The sequence below is a fragment of the Homo sapiens genome, chromosome 21, assembly GCF_000001405.40.
Source record: "Homo sapiens chromosome 21, GRCh38.p14 Primary Assembly".
Lineage (NCBI taxonomy): Eukaryota > Metazoa > Chordata > Mammalia > Primates > Hominidae > Homo > Homo sapiens.
In genome coordinates, this window is record NC_000021.9 from 36571020 (window position 1) to 36591834 (window position 20815).

General features: G+C 45.2%; 1 protein-coding gene across 1 annotated transcript in view, besides 2 other annotated features; it reads right to left on the minus strand.

Annotated features, from left to right (window-relative positions):
• The window catches only part of CLDN14 (claudin 14), a 115949-nt gene extending 110399 nt beyond the window's left edge, over positions 1-5550 (minus strand). Inside the window, exon 1 of the mRNA NM_001146077.2 lies at positions 5392-5550. The gene's annotated coding sequence lies outside the window, so the exon portion shown is untranslated. The remainder of the gene's footprint in view (positions 1-5391) is intronic.
• Positions 18437-18496: a silencer, noted in NCBI's record as "silent region_13288". NCBI's record gives its function as "represses an Ori minimal core promoter by ATAC-STARR-seq in GM12878 lymphoblastoid cells {active_cell/tissue: GM12878}" and the evidence as "EXISTENCE:reporter gene assay evidence [ECO:0000049][PMID:35858748]".
• Positions 18627-18676: an enhancer, noted in NCBI's record as "active region_18440". NCBI's record gives its function as "activates an Ori minimal core promoter by ATAC-STARR-seq in GM12878 lymphoblastoid cells {active_cell/tissue: GM12878}" and the evidence as "EXISTENCE:reporter gene assay evidence [ECO:0000049][PMID:35858748]".

The following is a 20815-nucleotide window of genomic DNA, read 5'->3' on the forward strand; positions in this document are numbered from 1 at the left end:
TTAGTAGAGACAGGGTTTCACCATGTTGGTCAGGCTGGTCTCGAACTCCTGACCTCATGATCTGCCTGCCTCAGCCTCCGAAAGTGCTGGGATTACAGGCGTGAGCCGCCGTGCCCAGCCTGCATCTCCTTTTTACCAAACATTCTAATGACACTGTGTAGAAAGCTGAATGTTCTTGGAGGTTTTGTGATATTACTGGCTTAGATTAGAAACAACTGAAGTTGGAAAAATAAGCCGGTTAGAGCACAGAAATGCATAGGACATTCCTCCCAACACCCTGCTGCAGTGCATTAATAAAAGTAGTTATGTCATGTGTGGTTAACAGTATGTAAGGTTGTGCAATGAAGGTGCTTTTAAAACCTGCTCCTACCTCTCTTGTAATGCAGAGCTCATACAATGTCATGTGGAGGTTTGCTAGCTGTTATTTCTATTCTTTGTCCACATCATGGTCAGTGGTGTTCAGAGTGACTTACGAAATCCCAAGCGAACGTGCCCTTCAATGCTTAGAAACACTCTTACCTTCACATCTAAGGTTGCAAACCCCAGGTTTCAGAGCAGTTCTTAGAGTTGGAAGGTTTCCAGTGAGATGAAGGGGGTGGTGCGTGTGAAGGAGTGAACTTCAAACCCACCCATAAACTGAAAAGATGGACGCTCTTGGAACGTAGCGCCTTTTGCAACTAAGAACATACCGTTACCTCCAAGTGCCCGGATTGATGGAGACAAGCCCTGCCAAATTCCATTCTCTCGGCTGGAAATTCCAGGATAGTGCTGGTACCGGTAAGTGACATTTTCTTGGAAAGTCACCAGGGGTTATAAAGTACTTCCCCAACCCCTACGTTTCTAAGGTATGAAAGGTAAAGGTCAGCGTATAGAAAATTTAAATTATCACTAAAAGCATGGCAGTGGATTTAACTAAGAAAAATCCAAAAAGGATAGAGTTCAACTGAGTCATTGCAAGCCCGTTTCTTAAGGACTCCCTCCCCACTCCGTGAAATAAGATCTAGCAACGGAATTGCCAACTCAAAGTCTCACTGAAACACAACAGGCTTTATTTTATAAGTGTGTTCTTTATGATTCTGTAATCTGTAGCGTACAGGGGAACCTTTTTGCAATTTTGGTGCCGATGCTCTCTGGGCTTGTTATCCAAGGCTTTTACTGCCTGTAGTTTGGTTTGGTTTGTTTTGTTTAGGGGTCGCTATGTAATTCCAGCCCTGGCGTAACCTGAATCTGTGCAGGGGGCTTGTGTGGGTTGTGTGTGTGTGTGAACTGCGCGTGCTCCCCAAACAGGAAGACCCCAAGGGTGTACCATGCAGCCTTCTGTCATGAGAGTAATGTGACCCTTTGTGCTTGGTGCTCTGGGTGACCTTCCCTCTGCGGAGTCCAGGTGTGGGGCTGTTTCTCCAGCCACCAACCTCTACCCTCCACCCAGGTCTGCATGCTGGCCCAAGATTGAAGAGGAAAACTTGGTCTTTGTAGCACCACACTTAGCCAGCTGACATGAAAGATTTACTGCCATCCCTTAACCCATTACATGGTAATAAATGGAAGTTGGCATCATTTCTTATCAGTCTAAGAATTTTGAACTCTGGCTAAATTCCTTTTTCTATAATCAGAGGGTGTAGAAAATCACATTTGTTTTTTAAACGGATGCTTTGGAAGACCCTGGTCAAAATTGTGGGCTCTGGAGTCTGAAACTTTGATTTAAACCTTGACTCTACTGCTTATTAACTTTGGGACCTGACATGTGACTTAAACTAAGCTTTAGTTTCCTTGTTTGTAAAATAGGTCTATTGATGAGATGGTGCATGCAAATTGCTTAGCTCAGTTCCTGGTATATAGTAGATGCCTCCTAAATAATAGCTATTACTATTTCCAATCTTGCGCTTCCCTGCTCCCTGCCAAAACTGAAAATGTGATTTACCAAATGACAATCGCAGGGTTATTTCAAAACAGTGTCTTCTATGTACGTATAGGAAATACACTGTAAGAATTGGAGGGGAGGCCGGGCGTGGTGGCTCACGCCTGTAATCCCAGCACTTTGGAAGGCCGAGGCAGGTGGATCACGAGGTCAGGAGATCGAGACCATCCTGGCTAACATGGTGAAACTCCGTCTCTACTAAAAATACAAAAAATTAGCCAGGCGTGGTGGTGGGCGCCTGTAGTCCCAGCTACTCGGGAGGCTGAGGCAGGTGAATGGTGTGAACCCGGGAGGCGGAGCTTGCAGTGAGCAGAGATCATGCCAATGCACTCCAGCCTGGGTGACAGAGCAAGACTCTGTCTCAAAAAAAAAAAAAAAAGAATTGGAGGGAAAATTACAATACTAGGTATTAAGACTACAGTTACTGCAACTCAAAAAGTATATAGAAAAGGGTGTGAATTATAAGTAGTTACAAAGTTCTGGGGCCCATTTAAGTCTGGGTATTATGTAGAAGCTTAACCAGGTGGTTGTGAAATTTTGCAATTGATATGAAATATTTATTTCATTAACTTTTCTCTCTATAAATTATCCTCATCAAAACTATCAACACCACTACTATAAAACTTTTAGAAGCAAAGACCTATTAATACATGGTGAAAACTACAACACTTCAGTTTCTTAATTTATTTACTATCTAATTAGTCTTAAATTATTTATTTTATATCAAGAAAAATCTATGAATCTACAAAACTATCACTAGAATTATGTGGATTTAACAAGGCTATAATATACAAAGTCACTATACAAAACTCAGTTATATTTCTATATGCCAGTAACAAACACTTTGAAGTGAAATTTCAAAAATCAGTACCATTTACAATGACATTAAAACTTCAAATACCTAGGGATAAATCTAATAAAATATGTATAAGACATCTACATAAAAACTATAAGACATTTCTGAGGAAAATGGAAGAGGCCTAAATAAATAAAGGGATATACCATGTTCATTGATTGGAAGACTTAATATTGTTAAGATGTCTTAAACTTATTCATTGGTTCTATACAATATATATATAAATTACAGCAAGTTTCTTTTAAAGAAATAAATGAGCTGATTCTAAATGATATATGGAAACATGAAGGATCTAGAATATCTGAAATTATTTTGAAAAAACCCCACAGATTTGGAAGACTTAAATAATATGAGTTCACATATGATAAAGCTACAGTAGTCAAGATAGTAGGGTACTGGCATAAAGACGGACATGCAAATCAACTGAATTAACTAAAGAGTTGCTCAATAGACCAACAAACACAGTCAACTGATATTCCACAAAGATGTCAAAGTAATTCAATGGAGAAAGGAAAGTTTTTGTAATAAATTTTGCTAGAACTAGGTATGCCTTATTCATACAATGGAATACTATACAGAAATAAAAAACTATAAACTGCAGATACAGCCAACAACACAGATGAATCTCAAATACAACACAGTAAGCAAAAGAAGCCAAACTCCGAAGAAGGCATAGTTTGATCAATTCATAGAAAATTCAAATAAGACAATACTAATCTATATGTATAAATATCTACATAAATCAGAAAGTGATGGGGGAGAGGAAATTGACTATCAAGGGCTCAAGGGAACTTTCTGGTGTGTTCAAAAATGTTTTATATCTTGTTTTGATTGGTGGTTACCAAAGTAGATACAATTCTGAAAGATTGTTGAACTGAACCCCCGGTAGCTGTGTATTTTATTTATGTTACTTATACCTAAATTAATTTTTTTAAGTAAGAAATAAAAATTCCTTAGAGGAGGAAATGTGGTAGAATAATTTCCCACCACAGAGAACCATCTTTTCCATTTATCCTAAATGACAAAGCTTTGATTGAATTATTTTACATCCCTGTTACATTTCTCTAGGATCCAGGCCATGAAAGTCCTTAAAGCTATCAAACCAGTTTCCAATGCTTCCTTCCCTCCACCCCACCCTGTCCCCTGCATCTTTAGATACTGGCAGAGATGATTTTAAGAAACAAAATTGCATTTAGCAGTAAAAATCAAACTGAAAAACAGACACACTTGTCTCTCCCTAAGAATAAAAATGGATAGAGCCACCTCACTGCATTATCTTCTTAAAGAATTCTCCTCTATTCTCTTTTTATGGAATTGAAGTTTCTACTTTTGCAAATGAATCCTGATTACCAACGCCGGTCATGCTGTTTGCTGTCTCATCTGCCGTCATGCAGTGTGCAGGACCCCTTGGTTTACTCCTGGCTTCTCTCTTGGTTCTATCGGCTCTAACTTACCCTGAGGCTTAGGGGTGCCAAACTGTGATACTCAGCAAATGATAGCTAATAACATGAATTGAGCCCTTCCTACATGCCAGGTTCTATCCTATATCATTTACTTATATTAGCTGAATTGTATCTCCACAATTCTCCTAAGAGGTAGGACCATCATTATTCCCATTTTACAGATGAGGAAACAGAGGCACAGGAGGGTGAAGTAACTTCTATCGAGTATGTGTCAGGGTTAGGGTTTTGACTCTAGATAGCTTATCTCAGAATCCATGTCTTTGTCGCAATGTCATGCAACCTCACTAATGCTTTAGCCAAAGGGAACAAAAAAAACCACAAGCAAGTGCCACTGCTGTGCACTGTGTCTGATAATGAAGACAGTCTTGGCAATAGGTACAGTGCTCGCATGAAACATGGACAATGTTTATCAGCATAAGTAGGCACTCACAAATGTAGTTCTGATTTCATAGAAGCTTATGGTGTTGAATTTTATTACATTGCAGCTGTTGATGTCATTCCTCTGGATTTATACCTGGTTTCACTGAACTACCTAGAGGAAGAAGCCTTCTTGCTTTTGGGGCATAAATAAGAGCATCACCCGCCTTCCAGGGAGATGAGCTCATAGACCCTGTATACGACCTCTTTAGAGTTTGTTAATGGAGACTGTAACGACATTTCTGCAGTGACTCCCGAAGACCCTCGCACCATCCAGAAACGCATTGAATTTTATCTTTTCTTTGGAAATCGATCTTGCTATTAATCTACTTGAAGGCAAAGTCTGTGTAACCCAAAATTATCCCATTTCCATGTACTCAGTAATTAAAAACCAACCAACCATCCCCTCTTAACAAAGTGAGGTAAGAATAGAAGTATGTTTTGCTGACATTCTCTCAAGCCCAGATATATAAACCTGCCTAGATTCTAGGCAGTCAGGGTCACTTAAAACAAGCTGGTGAACTAATCATTGACACCCAATCTACTCATTACAACACATAGAAGTTTCTCTCTCTTTCCTTACTTCCATCTTTCTTTCTTTCCTTGAACTCCTTGCCCACCCTACACCTAACTCACCTGCCTGCTCTAATTATTTAACCTTCCATGGTTGGCAGAAACTCAAGCCTTGAAATAAAACTAAGCCGAGATGTAATTTACAAGTTGTGAGTGCCACTCACCGTGCTGCTGTGTCCTCAGCCAAGTCCAGTGCTATATCTGAAAGTTCTTCCGGAGCTCCTCTTGAACATCTTACTCCCTCTCTTGGCAGGTGCCTGGCTCGTGACTTCTGCCTGGCTGGGCTGCCTGCCTCTCTCAGCTTTTCCCAGCTTGCCCTCCCCACCAATCAGACCCCCTGCTTTAGCTGGGCCTCAGGGTGCTCGTCCTTCCTGGACTCCCGGCGGGTGCCCAGCCCGCGCCTGCATCAGATATCTCTCAGGCCTTCCCCAGATCCCAGGCCTGTGGCACACCTAGTTTCAGCTATCAACACTGCCCTCTCAGTACGTGCCATTCCTACTCTGTCCACTCTGAAAAGGGACCAGTGTCTCTCTCGGTCTCCACTCACAGAGTCCCTATTCTCTCAACAAAAGGCCAATCAAATACCAAGATGGTTTCACTGACGTCTAGCCCAGCTCAAATGACCGGTTTTCTTAGGCCTCATTGTTGCTGGCGACTGCTGGTGCCTCTTGGTGTTCAAATTCAGAAGAAAGCCCGGACTGAGAGTGGCATTAGGAGACAGGAAAATCTCTAGAGGGAAAGCAAGGGCTTGAAGAGGGGCCCATGGAAGAGACATGCATGGCAGGAGGGTCAGTGTGGAGGCCCCAGTTGCACGCCCCAGTTGGACAGAAAAGAACAGGGAAGTGGTGAATGATGGGTGAATCCACCCAGGCGGCCAAGAGAGATATACACAGATGGTGGGTGTGGTGGCTCACGCCTGTAATCCCTGCACTTTGGGAGGCCGAGGCGGGCAGATCACTTGAGGTCAGGAGTTCAAGACCAGCCTGGCCAACATGACGAACCCCATCCCTACTGAAAATACAAAAAATTAGCTGGGCGTGGTGGTGCACGCCTGTAATCCCAGCTACTAGAGAGGCTGAGGGTGGAGAATTGATTGAGCCTGGGAGATGGAGGTTCCAGTGAGCCGAGATCATGCCACTGCACTCCAGCCTGGCGACAGAGGGAGACTTTGCCTTAAAAAAAAAAAAGAAAAGAAAAAAAAGAAAGAGAGACACACAGGAAATGACTTATTAAGCAAAGGGGAAGTCCAAGGAAAGACAAGAATATTCTTTAAAAAGAAAGTGAGATAGTGGAACTTGAAGAGGAGGACTGAAACTGTTTTGTTGTGTAGGAAAGGTGAAGGAAAAAGAAATGTCTTCCCTCTGTGTGTTTTCTGCCCCTGTAATTTTTCTAAGCTTGTCCGCCTCCATTTCCCCACAGGGGCCTGGGGAATGGACAGGTTAGCTGTCTTGCTCACTGGAGGAGCCCACATTATTCTAGAGCTGGACCTAAAGCACCCCGTGCTCACCCTTGTTCATTGTTTGTTCTTCCCTGGCAAAGTCTATCTTCTGATTCAAGTTTAATCAACAATATCATATGTACTGGGGCTTCTGGTGTCTCAGCCTCTGTCCTAAGCACCAGGGCAATTCAGCATGGTGAACCAGGAAGCAAACCAGACTTGGAGATGGGCGGGCTGGGGTTATTTGTTGTTGCTGTTTTTATTGAGCCAGGGTTTGAGTCTCAGCTCTGTTACTTACTACTTGTGTAGTCTTGGATGAGCACCACATGCTCTCTGAGTTTTTGTTTTGATTATTAAATTGCGGTTAGGAATACTGGCAGAATCAAGTAGTAGAAGAGGTGTTAAGTACCTAGCACAGCACTCTTCACTCACTGATTATAAATGCCCCCAATGCCCCCTGTTTCCTGCATCCATGCCCTTGCAATGTGACATGGCAGACCTCCCATCAGAAGGCAGGGCTAATGCTCCATCTGATCTGGGCTTGACCATATGACTTACTTTGGCCAATGAGACATTAGAAAATGTGACACAAGCAGGGATCTGAATGGTGCAGGCACTGGGGCTTGCCTTCTCCTGCAGCTAAGAATCCTTTACACACCATGGAACAAGTGAAAGCTAGCTTCCTGGGGGATGAGAGACCATGTGGAGAGAGGCTCCAACCATCCAGACTTCCACCTGAGTTCCAGACATTAAAGAGAGGCCATCCTAGACCACCCAGCCCTAACAGAGCTGACTTAGACCCGAATTGATTACCTAGCTCACAGAATCATGAGATGCAATAGATGTTTATTATTTTAAGTCATTCAGTTTGGAGGTCTTTGGCTTTTGTAGCAAATGCTAACTGGTATAGTAACTAAGAGCTGGTCATAATGGCCAACACTTATTGAGACCTTTAACGCCAGGCACTCTGCTAGGCATGTGCTGGTCTTCTAAGCTGCATCTCCTGGTGCCCATAACAGTCTTATACACTAGAGGTGCCCAGGAGAAATCACTTTAAGAATTAAAAATTTTTATTTTTATTGTACCTGAATCCAGGAAGTATAAAAGGATACTAAAATACAATCAAGTAACTGCAAAAAATAGGTGTACAGGAAATAAATGCAAGTGTGGGAGACATCAAATGAAACTAAGCATGGGGCAAAAAACAAAAGCAAACAAATATGTATATGGTGGCTGCAGGCAGGTATATTACCTTGCTAGGACTATCATAACAAAGTACCACCAACTGGGTGGCTTCAACAATAGACATTTGTTGTTTTAGCGTTCTGGAGGCTGGAAGTCCAAGACCAAAGTATAAGCAGAATTGGTTCTTCCGAGGCCTCTCTCCCTGGCTTGTAGACAGCTGTCTTCTTCCTGTCTTCATATGGTCATCTCTATGTGTGTGTCTTTGCCCTAATCTCCTCTTCTTATAAGGACACCTGTCATATAGGATTAAGACTCTAATGACCCCATTTAACTTAATTCCCTATTTAAAGTGCCCGTCTCCAAATACAGTCACATTCTGTGACACTGGGGGTTAGGGCTTCAACAGATGGATTTTACAGAGGAGATGCAATTCAGTCCCAAATTGTGGGAAATCTATTTGCTCTACGCTTTCCACAGCCAACACCCAAAGGGAAACCTAGACAGATACACAAGTTCATCTCCATAAACTCATGAAAAACAGAACTACCTAATAGCTAGCACTCAGCCCAGACAGGTTTCCACAAGCATTCTCATTTAAAAAAAAAAAATTTTGTGAGGCAGTGATATCTTCAATGTTTCTCTTATAGCAGAAACAATGGTAAGTTTCAAAAGATGTCTCTGACATCCCGTCTCAAGCATTGACCAATGATACAAAGTGGAGGAGAATGAAGTATTGATGCAATTTCTCTCCAGCCTTATTAAATGATGGAGTAGCCACCAGACAGGGTGGCTATCAATCTCTCCACCAATCTTTCCCCTAGAATGGCTCTGTTTCTTTGGACATTAAAGGGGTTTTTATTATGGAGAGTTTCCCATTAAAACGCAGCACCACAGTTGAGTGCCTGTGAAGGAGAGAATTACATGAGCACGGCCTGTCGAAGACCCCATGGACAAAGGGCAAGAGAGAAGCTTCCAGATAAGTGATGGCGTGTGCCAAGGGCAAGCTTCCTGTATTACATTTTAGGGGAGACACAGCTTAGCTCCACAGCATCTTTCCCCTCTTGTGTTGGACATTTTTTTGGTGGTTTGCTCCCACGGCCTATCCTAAGGGAAGATAATTTTGAGAGGTCATCTGCAGATAACCACATCATGCTTCTACAAGTGACTCACCTCTTTCTGGTCTTAGCTGATCATCAACTGACCCAGGAGCTGTCCACCTATGGGTTGGCCAATGACAGTGACCTATGGCCTGGCATAAGATGCATTTGGCCAATCAAATTCCTGCTCTCTCAGAGGAAGTGCAGAGATGGGCAGTTGGTGAGAGCTGCTGGTGTGGGGCAGGAGAAGCCATAAGGCACTAAAAATAACAGCACACCTCACATCTATCTGGATGGCTGTTATCAAAAGAACAGAAAGTAATGCTGGTGAGAATGTGGGGAAACTGGAGCCCTTGTGCATTGCTGGTGGAAATGTAAAACGATGCAGCTACTATAGAAAATGGTTGAGGGTCCTCAAAAAATTAAACGCAGAGTTACCATATAATCCAGCAATTCCACTTCTAGGTGTATACCCCCCCAATGTTGAAAGCCGGGACTCAAAAAGACATGTGTACACACATGTTCATAGCATCGGTATTCACACACTCTATTGGTTCTGTTTCTCCAGTGAATCCTGACTAATGCATCTTCCAAAAGAATCTACAGAACAGCTGGGGAGCATGAGTCTAAGGTCTGTAGGCTCCAGATGAAAGATCCTGTCGCTGATGCTGGGCCAGCCTACAAGCACCCCCCAGACAGGCTGTCACAGAACAGTAGGGCTGACGAACCACGTTCAGTTGCTTGAATCCCATCATTTAGTACATCAGTTCCAAACACACAGCAAGAAACAAAGGGAGAGATCTGCAGTTGGTTGACACTGCAGGATCTGGTGCCTTCAGGGTGGAAGGACCACAGCCCTGGGTCCTGGGCTATGCAATGTTCACAATCCGTCTCTGTCTGCCCATCAGTCTCCCCTGCTAACAGTGTGGTTACCAGGACCAGTCAAATAGTCAAACAAGGAGGCTTAGCAGATGGAAGCTGCCCAGAAACTGCACATCCTTGTCCTACCAAAGAAACACAAGAGCACGATCACCTGGCCAGTATCTGGGGCTCGCCAGCTGACCTGCGGAGTGGCTGTGGGCTTTGTTTGCATTTCTTGAGCAGAGCACATATGGTCCCATCTATCTTTGTCATTCATTTCTCTTATTTTCTCCAGCAGAATTGAATGGTCTTAAAAGAGTGAACATGTATTGCAGATGCCGTGAGAGCTATGATGGTGAAACTGCTGATCTTCCTAGTACTTTAAAAAAGACTTTCTACAAAGATCCTTTCTATTTTGTGTGTTTGTTGTTGCAAATAAGTACTTGATTAGAGGCCAAGCGAAAGCTGGTGGTTTTTATCTCATGAAGGTTAGGATCTGTTTTGTTTTCCATGGATGCTAGAAGTTGTGAATGGAAAAATGAACATCATCTTTGAGTAAAGACATTTTAGAAGGAGACACATTTTGATTGTAAAAATGGAATGTGACTGGGTGCGGTGTGTCACACCTATAATCTCAGCACTTTGGTGGGTGGATTGCTTGAGACAAGGAATTGGAGATCAGCCTGGGCAACATGGCAAGACCCTGTCTCTACAAAAAATACAAAAATTAGCCGGGCATGGTGGCTCATGTCTGTACTCCCACCTACTTAGAGGCTGAAGTGGGAGGATCACTTCAGCCTGGGAGGTCGAGGCTGCAATGAGTATGATAACACCACTACACTCTTCAGCCTAGGTGATAGAGTGAGAACCTGACTCAAAAGACAATAGAAAGAAAAAGAAAATGGAATGTACCGGGCCAAGGGAAGGAGAGCAAGGAGAACCGCTTTGGGTATTTGTGGGGTCCCCCCAGGACTCACTACTGCAGGAGGATGCAGAGGAAAGGGATAGGGTGGAGAGCGAGGCATGCTATCCACTGAAAGAGAGGGACAGGCACATGTGTAAGTTGTAAATCTCAGAAAAGAGAAGTAAAGATTAGTAGTGAGAAATGGGAAAGCCGAGAGGTGTTATTTGAATGCACACATTGAATGAATGAAAAAAGTCTCACGACAGGATTAGATAGAAAAATGCAACGTTTCCTTTTTAACCAAAAGAGGCAAGAGTTCGCAGAGGAAATAGATTGTGCTTGAGAACAGCCATGGCAATTTTTCAGCAATACAATCAGGCATTTTAGGGGAAACTTAATAAATGGCTTGGATCTCAGTGGTCAGGAAAGGATGGAGAACAGATATCAAAGGCTGACATAGATTTTCTGAGCAGAAAAAATAAGGTAGAGAGAGAATAAGCCTGGGACTGGGGACAGAGAATTCGAATGCCCAAGGTCAAATTCAGTCTGCTAATGTCTGCCTGGCCCCTGCACAAGGACTCGTTCCATGAGGCAGCGCCTGCGCCCACATGTGTACAGTTGACTTCCACCGATTGTTCACCCAACGTGGACCACCTTGCCTCAGACCCTATTTGACACAAGTTCTATCTCCAACAAACCAGCTGTCAGGAAATGGTCTCAAATCTCCAAGAACAGAAACTTCTCTTGACAGTGCATTCTGTTACCTTCAGTATGAAAACTGGCAATGACACAGCAAGACCTGCAACTCAGGCTTCCTGTCCCCAGCCCTCCACAATGCTAAGAGCAATGGCAGAGCACCTGTCCAAGGCCTCGAATGAGCTGTTGGCTATACAGAAGCATCTGGAAGGATGCAAGAGCACCCTAGAATGACTATCATAAAAAACCTGCCCCATTCCCCCACAACCCTTTCCCAGCCCTTCTGTAATGTGTGGTTAAACTGAGTCTCATCCATTTTTCCTTCCTGCTAAAGACTAAGCTTGGGAAGAGAGTGGAGGGGAGGGGTGCTGGACTTGAGTGTGGAGACAGAGTGGCTTCCTGGGCCCCGAATAACCTTTGGGGGCCTGCCTGATGACCCTCCACAGCAACCATGTGGATTCTGGTACTTTCACTGCAAAATGAAGGATGCAGGTGATGGGCTGGGAGGGCTGCAAGTGTCCAGGAGGCTCAGAGCCTCAGTAGAGATGGAACCATAAGATATCCCACCTCTGCCATCACCCACACAATCCAGCAACATCCCCAGTGCCACCTGGATTTTGCCCATTCCTCCATCATCTCTCCTCCCAAAGAAAATCTCCCTCTTCCTTCCTCAAGGGGTCCACATGGGTGGCCAACTGCTGGACCATTCTGAAGTCTCTAGGAAATAAGCCTTTCCTGCCTCTTCCAGCTCCTGGTGTTTGTTGGGAATCCTTGCTGTTCCTTGGCTCATGGCAACATAATTCTAATCTCTGCCTTCATCATCACACGGTATCCTCCATGTCTGTGTCTCCATGTCCAAATTTTCCTCTTGTTATAAGGATACAGTCATACTGGATTTAGGGCCCCCTCTAACCCAGTATGACATTATCTTAACCTGACTACATCCATAAAGAAATACCCTATTTCCAAATGAAGTCACATTCTGAGGTCCCAGGTGGGCATGAATTTTGAGGTGGGGGGGATGCAATTCACACAAGCGTCATCACTTAAGGGTAATGAAGGCCAGAACTTTTGACTTTCTTGGTATAACCAACTTTAATTACAATATCCTGAGTTTTTTCCCCCCAAAGTCACTCTGAAATGACCATCTACCCTTTTCCATTCCATAAACTTAGTCTAATACAGACAGAGCTCAGCTTTCAAATAGAGGAGTTTTCCTGAGCTGCTGCAGGTAAGGGCGCCTGTTTGCAGTGTCTGTTGGCCAGGCCAGGTTGGGGGTGCCCATGGGAAGAAGGAAACCCACAGGATCCCATCCAGGGGAGGGAGCTCATTAGCATAACCCCTGGCTTGCTCTGCCCATCATGCACGTCTAGCATCCTGATTGGTAGGTTTGAAAGGAGACCTGGGTCATGGGCAGTAAGAGGTCCTGCATCTCGATTTACTCTCAGGAGTGACTGGCACTTCCAGGGCTGGGCTCCTCCAAGGATGGGCTCATCCCTGTGGGGTGGAGTAGGGGTCTGTCCAGTTCCGCCACACCCACCCCACCCACCCCCCACGCCCACCCCACCCACCCCCCACGCCCACCCCACCCACCCCCCACGCCAAAATTGGACTTCTGTATTAGGGAGCTTATTTGCCCAAAGATATAAGCCACATTCTCCAACCTAGACTGTCAGTTATAAACGTAGTCTTTGGGCTGGAATAAAGGCAGTCTTTGGGCCAGGCACAGTGGTTCACATCTGTAATCCCAGCACTTTGGGAGGCCAAGGCGGATGGATCTCCTGAGGTCAGGAGTTCAAGACCAGCCTGGCCAACATGGTGAAATCCCGTTTCTACTAAAAATACAAAAATTAGCCAGGTATGGTGGTGGGCACTTGTAATCCCAGCTACTCAGGAGGCTGAGGCAGGAGAATTGCTTGAATTCGGGAGGCGGAGGTTGCAGTGAGCCAGGATCACACCACTGCACTCCAGCCTGGGCGACAGAGCCAGACTCCATCTCAAAAACAACAACAACAACAAAAACGGTCTTTGCGACTCCATTGGCCTCATGCCTTTTTTCACCTTTCATTTGGTTCAGAATTTGGGCAGGAAGAGTGTGCCATTTACCAGACACCCCCAATACCTTGGCAACACACAGGGCTCACTTTGAACACCAATTAACTTCTCAACAGTTCACACACAATCCATGCATGGGAGCCTTATTCCCTTAATACGCCAAAAAATATACCTGAAGCTAAAAATATACCAACCCAAGGCAAGCTTGAACTTTCCATAAAAGGCCATTAAGAGAATTGATTTCATCTCCGGGATTATTGCCCTGTGACAGCTGGTATGCATTCCAAATACAGCAACAAAAGAGAAGGCCACGCTGTAGAAAGGAGTTTAAGTGGAAACCTTCCATACACCAAAATCTCAAAGGAGAGGAAGTTGCTTGCCACCCCCTTGGTTACAGTTCATAGTCATAAAGGCTGTTTCTATAGAATAGACTTCCACGATTATCTATTTGCAAAAATGTACAAACACAGCCAGCATACTCTGTGCCTGTAGAAAGACCTGGATCAATACAAGTAACAGAAGAATGAAGAAAAGAGGAAAAAAAGATTTTATCAAGGCTGTTTACTTTAAGGGTACCTTAAAGACCTGCACAAACACACCTGCTACTTCAGTGCCAGGAAGAACAGAGCAAACATGGCTCTCCTTTAAAAGAAACTGGAGAAAGAGACTTTGCAGCCACAAAACCAGTCACACCAGGAGGCGCTAGCATCTCAGCAAGTGAAAGCATAGAAGCCTCATCTTCAGATCAAAGTTATTTAAAAGGAGCCCAGGATCACACTTCTGAATTAAGCCTACATCACATCGGGGACAGTAACATGTTGAGGAATGTTTAACCACAAACTGGATCACCAGAAGGGAAAAATCTCCTGATTCCTAGCATCTGCCCATTTCTGTGGTGTAAATACTCCCACAGTAGCTGATTTCAAGCTGCCAGCATTGGCAGAGATGTGAAACACCACACCATTGTATAGTATTTCCACCCTCCAGATACAATAGGTGCAAACAACTTCTAGAGCATAGGTACCAGTAAAATGTACTAACACAATCAGGAAGTAAAAAATGCTAAAACAATTAGGAAGTTGAATGTATTAAAACAACTAGGAAGTGATGAGTTTTGAGTATTTATTACTTTTGTGGTAATATAATTTATTTAATTGTAAGCTTATGATTTTAAATTTTTAAATAGTGACTCTTTTAGCTACCAGCTCACAAAATTCCGGCAAATTTTACAATTGGCTCAAGCTGGGGCAAGTCTCCTTCAACCTACCATGGTCTGGGGAGCGTTTTCAAAGTAACAAAGATCTTCCTTTCCCTACCTCAATTGCGGGAGGCCCATTGGGACAAAATGCCCCAGAGGCGACCACATGTGCATATTTTCTTTTCCTTCCTTCCTTCCTTCCTTCCTTCCTTCCTTCCTTCCTTCCTTCCTTCCTTCCTCCCTCCCTCTCTCTTTCTCTCTCTTTCTTTTTCTTTTTTTTCTCGCAGTTTCGCTCTTGTTGCCCAGGCTGGAGTGCAGTGGTGTGATCTTGGCTCACTGCAACCTCCACCTCCTGGGTTCAATCGTTTCTCCTGCCTTAGCCTCTCGAGTAGCTGGGATGACAGGTGCGCCACCATGTCCCGCTAATTTTTTGTATTTTTAGTAGAGACAGGGTTTCACCATGTTGGCCAGGCTGGTCTCGAACTCCTGATCTCAGGTGATCCACCTGCCTCGGCTTCCCAAAGTGCTGGGATTACAGGCGTGAGCCACCATGCCTGGCCATCATGCATATTTTCAAAAGCTCTCCAGTGCAATTCTAATGGACTCCCTGGGTGAGAACCACTGCTGTGTCCCACCCTTCCATGTTACAGAAAGGGAAGCTGAAGTTCAAAAGTTTAAATGTTCTCTCTGTTGGTTAACAGATGACCGAGCTGGAGAATGACTATTAGTTGGGTTCTTTCTCTTCCCCTAGACCTTCCCCCCAACAATTATGTGCAACTTTGGATCTCTTCTGGAAATACTGCACCTTATAAGCACCTTATTTGAAATATTGCAACTATATTAGCAGTATAGGCCATATACCAAAGCCTCATTACTTTAAAAGGAAAAAAAAAAGAGAGATGGGGGGGCAGTCCTACTGTGTTGCTCAGGCTGGTCTTGAACTCCTGGCCTCCGGCGATCCTCCTGCCTCAGCCTCCCGAATAACTGGGACATAGGTGCATTGCATTCAGCTTACTTTTGCATTACCTTAACAATAACCAAAATAAAGTTTACCATAATATCATTTATTTTTAAAAAGGGTTTAACAAGGAAATTCATAGGTAAGCCAAACTAGAAAGGAGACATCAACGTCCTCAAGAAACTTTAGAGACCAGCTTTCTCTCTGTTTGTATATAAACCATGTATATATTAATAACAAACCATTCTGATCTATATACTAAGAGAGGGTCAACTGAACTGGCAATGTTTAGTTAGTGGTTATTTTAACTTATTCTTAATTAAAAATAAAGTTATTCTAGCCAGTTGCAGTGGCATGTTCCTGTAGTCCCAGCTACTCAGGAGGCTGAGGCAGGAGGATTGCTTAAGCCCAGGATTTTGAGTCCAGCCTGGATAACATAGTGAGAGCTTGTTTCCATTTTTCAGAAAAGTTGTTCTAGGTAGCAAGATTATGGTGATTTACTCTTCCATATTTCTTCTAAATCTTCTTCAACAAGCTTAATGCTGTAGTCCTGTCCCATATATTTTTAATGCTTTTATAATCAGAAAAATTGACTTTTTTTTTAACCCAAGTCAATTGCATCTCTTTCCGCACCCAGACTTTTCATGAATTTGGTTTGGCTTCTCTTTTAAATTTTCCCAAGACAGCAAGGAAAAGTGATCCAGCTAAGCTTTCCTTTTAGGACTTTTTACTGACTCTCCCCAGCGATTTGAAGATAACCTCCTCCTGAGCTCTCCACCCCACTCTGAAGCTGCGAGGTCCCCACCGAACAGAACACGGTCTCCTGAGTGTCCCACCCTGCTCTTAGCGGGAGAACTCAGCTTTCGGCTCCCATAGGCATGGAAACAGTTACCAAACACTGGTTCCTAGGCCAGTGTCTCTCCTACTGCTAGTTGAAAGAATATTCCATGACTCATTGTGGACTCATCTCCCAAAGATATTAAATCTGAGTTTCAGTGAAAGCCAGTCCAGGTAAGCCCTGTACAAATAAGAACACGCCTGAGCTAAAACCAGGCTGGTGGATTCCAGCATCTTCTCTGGGCTCTTCCTGTGTCTCAGAGCGTGAGCTTGGGCTTCTACTCCGTGCCTGGGGGACCCATGCCCCCTGCCACCCCATGGCTGGAAGAGTACCCCTGTCTGGGAGAAATCAGCTATAAACGCAGAAGACAAGAGCCCTGAGGGAGGCAACCTTTCACCAGGTCCAGGGGCTTCTCCATTGGTCCTCACGGTCGGGCTCATTATCACAGCATCTTCTGATGATGTCTTTGCCTTGCTCCCATCCCTGTGGGTGGTGAAGGGCCGGGAAGGCAAGTGTGCAGGACTGTGGGTGCTGGGCTTATCTGGAGGCATCTGCTGAGGGGAGGCCAGCACATGTTTCTTAAGAACAAGGGCACGCGTCTTATCCCCTTCTCTTCCTGGTGGGCCGGGCTCCTTGGTGCAAAGCAGCTCTTTTTTTTTTTTTTTTTTTTTTTTTTTTGAGATGGAGTTTCGCTCTTGTCACCCAGGCTGGAGAGCAGTGGCGTGATCTCGGCTCACTGCAACCTCTGCCTCCTGGGTTCCAGTGATTCTCCCGTCTCAGTCTCCCAAGTAGCTGGGATTACAGGCATGTGCCACCACGCCCAACTAATTTTGTATTTTTAGTAGAGACGGGTTTCTCCATGTTGGTCAGGCTGGTCTCAAACTCCCGACCTCAGGTGATCTGCCCCCCTCGGCCTCCCAAAGTGCTGCGATTTAAAACAGGTTTATTGGCAGGGCGCAATGGCTCATGCCTGTAATCCCAGCACTTTGGGAGGCTGAGGCGGGTGAATCACCTGAGGTCAGGAGTTTGAGACCAGCCTGGCCAACATGGCGAAACCCCATCTCTACTAAAAATACAAAAATTAGCCAGGCGTGGTGGTGCATGCCTGTAATCCCAGTTACTCGGGAAGCTGAGGCAGGAGAATCGCCTGAACCCAGGAGGCAGAGGTTGCAGTGAGCCGAGATCAAGCCATTGCATTCCAGCCTGGGCAACAGAGCTAGACTCCTGTCTAAAAACAAAACAAAACGAAAAACCCAAAAATCATAAAACAGGTTTCTTTCCACGTTCCTGATAGTTTCTGGCTTCTGCAGCCACACAGACCTTCACCACTTTCTAAGCCTGCATTTGCTGACCATCCCCACATCCTAAACCAAGCCCTCTGACCTCAGTTGTTCCTGCGAGGATGCCTTGTCCGGAGATGGCAGAGGTTCCCGCCACTGCTTTTCCGTGCCTGCCCTCCCGCCACTGCTTTTCCCAGCACACCCTGCCACCCCAGTGTGGAGGCTCCACTGACCATCACGGGGAGAGTTCTATCGGCACCTGCCTCCTGCCCCTGTGAGATGCGTCTTGGGGGAGTCATGTGGCCTCTTGACACCTCAATTGCCTCACTGGCAAGCTAGGGATAATAATGTCACCTCCTGAATCAGCGTGGGCATTCAGGAGCTACTGAGTGTGTAAAACCCTGCAAAAGGCAGAGGCCACTCCCATGCCAGAAACAGTCTCCACGTCTCCTTCTACAGACCCCTCCTCCGAGTCCCCTTGGTCCCCAAGGACAGCACCAGCCATCCTGTCTCCATGGCCTTTGTGTTATCAGTAGGGCTGCCAGACGAAACACAAGACACCCAGTTAAATTTAAATTTCAGATAAACAACAAATAATATTGAGTATAAACATGTCCCGTGCAATATTTTCATTTGCTATATCTAGTGACCTGAATCTAATGAGAGGGCACGTTTCACAGGGCTGGACACCATGTGTGTTTCATCTGTGCTCCCCGACCCTCCCTCCTCCCTCCCCAGCCTGGCACACTGCCGGGCACATGGCCTCAGTATCCAATAGGCCGGCGGTTCTCAGCAGGGTCAGGACTGCCCCCTAGGGGCTATTTTGGAAATTCGAGGAAGCCTTTGTGATTGGCAGGATTACAGTGGGGGACTTCCTGGCCTTGAGGGGACAGGAGCCAGGGGTGCTCCAGGACCTGCCAGAATTGTCCTCTCTGTAGAGAGTTGTCCTTTACCCCACACACCATTCAGGTAAATGACAAACCCGCTTAGGACCGTCTGAGCCTGGAAACTCACTCCATAGGAACATAAAGTGGATTTTGTGCTGTATTTCCAGGAATGCAACTACTGTACTTTGTTTTAGTCTCATGACAAATTGCATCTGTGGTTTTGAGGCCTCGGTATATTACACCTGCATCAGCCCCTCTTTGTGGCTGTGGATTCCTTCAATTGCCTCTTTCTGATGGCTTCATTGTGTCTTCTAGTGTAGATAGAGTGAGTGCTCAAGCACATTAGGCATTGAATATATTTTACTTTATTACAACCCTCCACTTTCCTTGTATTTCCTTCATATTGCACTTAATATATTATGTGTACTTAATGCATGTCTCTCATTTCAGATTCTGTGTCGTGATAGGTATATGTAACAGGAATCTGCACTATCGTCTGTGGTTTTTGTTTCAGGATGGTAAAAAGGCTGTTATAAAAGATTTGTTATGAAAGGGGTCACCCCTAGAACAGTTCTGTGTCTTGATCATAGTGGCGGTTACATGAATTTTAACATGTGATAAAAAGACTTAGAACGATTGCATACACATTGTGCCAATGCCAAGTTTCTCATTTTGCTACTGGACCACTGTTACAGAAGATGGAGCCATCAGGGTAAACTGAGGAAAAGATACACAGGAGCTCTTTGATTATCTTGGCAGCTTCTCTTGCATCGAGCATGATTTCAATATTTAAAAAAAGATTTTTTTGGTGCTTATTTATTTATTTATGTGAGACAGAGTCTTGCTCTGTTGCCCAGGCTGGAGTGCAGACATGATCTCAGCTCACTGCAACCTCCGCCTCCCGGGTTCAAGCAATTCCCCTGCCTCAGCCTCCCAAGTAGCTGGGATTACAGGCCCCCGCCACCATGCCTGGCTAATTTTTGTATTTTTAGTAGAGACAAGGTTTTCCTATGTTGGCTAGGTTGGTCTCGAACTTCTGACCTCAAGTAGATCCACCTGCCTCGGCCTCCCAAAGTGCTGAGATTATAGGCTTGAGCCACCGTACCCAGCCCTGTTAATTTATTTATTTTTAACTTTTATTTTAGTTTCGGGAGTACGTGTGCAGGCTGGTTATATAGTTAAATTAGCATCACGGGTTTATTGCACAGATTATTTCACCACCCAGGTATTAAGCCCCGTACCCAGTAATTATCTTTTCTGCTCCTCTCCCTCCTCCCACCCTCCCCCTCAAGTCAGCCCCAGTGTGTGTTGTTCCCTTCTCTGTGCTCCTGAGTTCTCATCATTTAGATCCCACTTATAAATGAGAACATGCGGTATTTGGTTTTCCGTTCCTGTGTTAGTTTGCTAAGGATAACGGCGTCCAGCTCCATCCATTTCCCTGCAAAGAAAATGATCTCCTTCTTAAAAAAATTATCCTTTTAAGCGAGAGGAGTCACCAAGTCCTGACTTCAGGTTGAGAGCCACCCAAGAGGTGGATCCAAGGGTTTCTCTTCCAGCCTGCCGGCTAGTCCTGCTTTGTGTGGAGTTCCTCCTCAGGAGAGCTTGCCTACGGGAAGGTGCAAGCACCTGAGAGCTCCATCCACTTCCCAGCAGCAGAAACGGGGAGCCGGGCTGCTGCTTCCACTCCTATCTCCAGCCCTTGGTTGCTTGTCCTTTGGGGTAGCCAGACGCAGGCTCAAACCCCAGGTCGTATGGCAGGTGGCCTGGCCTTAGAAAGTCTAAATGAAGGCAGAGGGGCCTCGGCGGGTCACACCCCTCTGCACTGGCTGAGGCCCATCGCCCACCTGGCTCCCCTGCCAGCCCCCAGACCCCGGCCCCTACCCCTCACTTCTCACTGTCGGTGGGCTGCTTCCCTCACTTCTCCCTCCAAATCCACCTGCACACCTGGGCCACGTCCTCTGCAGAATAAGGGAGGCCTTGAATGTGAACTAATTTTATTTAGCATAAGCCCGGCTGCCCGGGTCTTCTGTGCACGTCTCCCAACTGGGATCTCTGGAATCTCTCTCTCCTGGCTGTCAGGTGCACCTGCCCACCAGGCCTCACAGCCCGCATCACTACAGATCCAGCCGGGGTGAGTCACCAACAGCAAAAAAAGGGGGTGGGAGGAGAATGCACGTGTACACACTTCAGA